General features: G+C 38.8%; 1 annotated feature.

The window, feature by feature from the left end:
• Positions 705-1,004: an enhancer, noted in NCBI's record as "active region_25049". NCBI's record gives its function as "activates an Ori minimal core promoter by ATAC-STARR-seq in GM12878 lymphoblastoid cells {active_cell/tissue: GM12878}" and the evidence as "EXISTENCE:reporter gene assay evidence [ECO:0000049][PMID:35858748]".

Genomic DNA, 1,762 nt, shown 5'->3' on the forward strand with positions numbered 1-1,762 from the left:
TCCTTCTTCTCTATGAATTGTTAGGCTAGAATAGCCGCTACCATTTAGGTGTATGGTATCTTCCGTACATCAGGTTCTTCACCCATTAGGTTGGTGCAAAAGTAATTGCGGTTTTTGCCATTACTTTCAATGGCAAAAACCGCAATTACTTTTGCACCAACCAAATAATATTAACTCATATATGGGGGAATGAAGGCTCACAGAAATTACCTAACTTGCCATGTTTCTATACAAATAGGAAGTGATAAAACTGCAATTCAGATACATCTCACCCTGGATTCTGGGTGAGAGCAGGTACAATATACTCAAGACAGGGGCACACCAATGCCTCCACTTTTGCTATTGGCTCAATTGGTCAAAAGCTACCTTAGGAGTAATTTTATAAGATTAGGTTTACTCAAAGTAAAAAAAAAAAAAAAAAAAAAAAAAAGTATGAAATTAATCTCTACTAATCTGGAACCACTGCGTAAAAAAGTGAAGTCCTAGAAAATAAATACATTTTTAACAGTTTTTTAGAAGATCAGGTTTACTTTGGAGGGATTCCAGCACCTTAGTTGTGTTCCAGAACTGTTTGTCTCCAAATTTCTCCAGGAAGGTCAAGAGAAAAAAAAATTTATTCTAAAGCTACTGCAGGGTAGCATCAATTTTCTGGGTTCCCTGCAAAAAACCACTTCCATTCATTCTGAGTTAAAAGGACCATAACTAGGGAGAAGCCCTCCTGATGTGGCCTTTAGGTTCATACCAGACTATTAGGGAAACTGGTTCATGAAAACACTCCCAGCGGTAGGAATCCGGGTACACCTTGATGCAGCTGCCTTTGGCTGATGCAAGAGTCCTGACAGACACTGATCTGGCCTGTTTCGCTTCCTGGCTCTTCTCATCCTGTCTTAATAATTCATTTGGTTTTACTTTCACTTACACACAAACACCCACACCACACCAGTGTATCACTAGGAGTTGTTATTAGTATACTTAATACAAATGTCAAGAGCACGTATTCTGAGCTCATCCAAAAATGGAAATGTCTTTTTCTGTGAAGAAAATATGGCTAATTCCACAAATTTTTCTTTTTCTCCTAAAAGTAACAATTAGATTGTTTAGATGCTGTATACTCTGTAACATACAAAACCAGACCTTTAAATCTCATGTCAAAAGCAGAAATCAAACACACAAAAATCAGTGAATTTATTAGCAGGATGGCATAGTTTGCAAATTACCTGCTTTCCATTTTTCTTCTCTACATCTAGTTACCGTAAAAACAGGCAATGCGGCATGGTAGAAGGATTCTGAACTTGACCATCAGGAGCCCTGGAGTCTAGGTCTGGCTCTCCCACTAAACTGTCATTGTGCTACCATGGGCGAGGGCCTTAACTTCTCTGGCCTTAGTTTCTTGATATGGGAAACAGGAGGAAAGATGAACAACCAGCTTCTAAGATGCCTTGCAGACTAATCCCCTCGTTGGAGACTAGTGATCCCACCTTTGACAATGCTTCCCTACTTTAACCTTTCACTTGAACTGTGAACTTTCATTATCATTGCCCAACACCTCCATTAGAGAAAACAATCACTTGGTTACAAGACTGACCAAACATCTGCTCTAATCTTGCAAAAAAAGAACTGAAGAAGCAGGAGAAATGGAGCACTACCACCTTTTGTGCGAAATGAAACTTGTGGTTATTTGATGCTGCTGACAAAGGACATTATTACACTATTTGGAATTACAAATTAGGCTAGAGGTAGTGTTAGATATTAAGCAGGTTCT

Source organism: Homo sapiens, chromosome 6, assembly GCF_000001405.40.
Source record: "Homo sapiens chromosome 6, GRCh38.p14 Primary Assembly".
Classification (NCBI taxonomy): domain Eukaryota; kingdom Metazoa; phylum Chordata; class Mammalia; order Primates; family Hominidae; genus Homo; species Homo sapiens.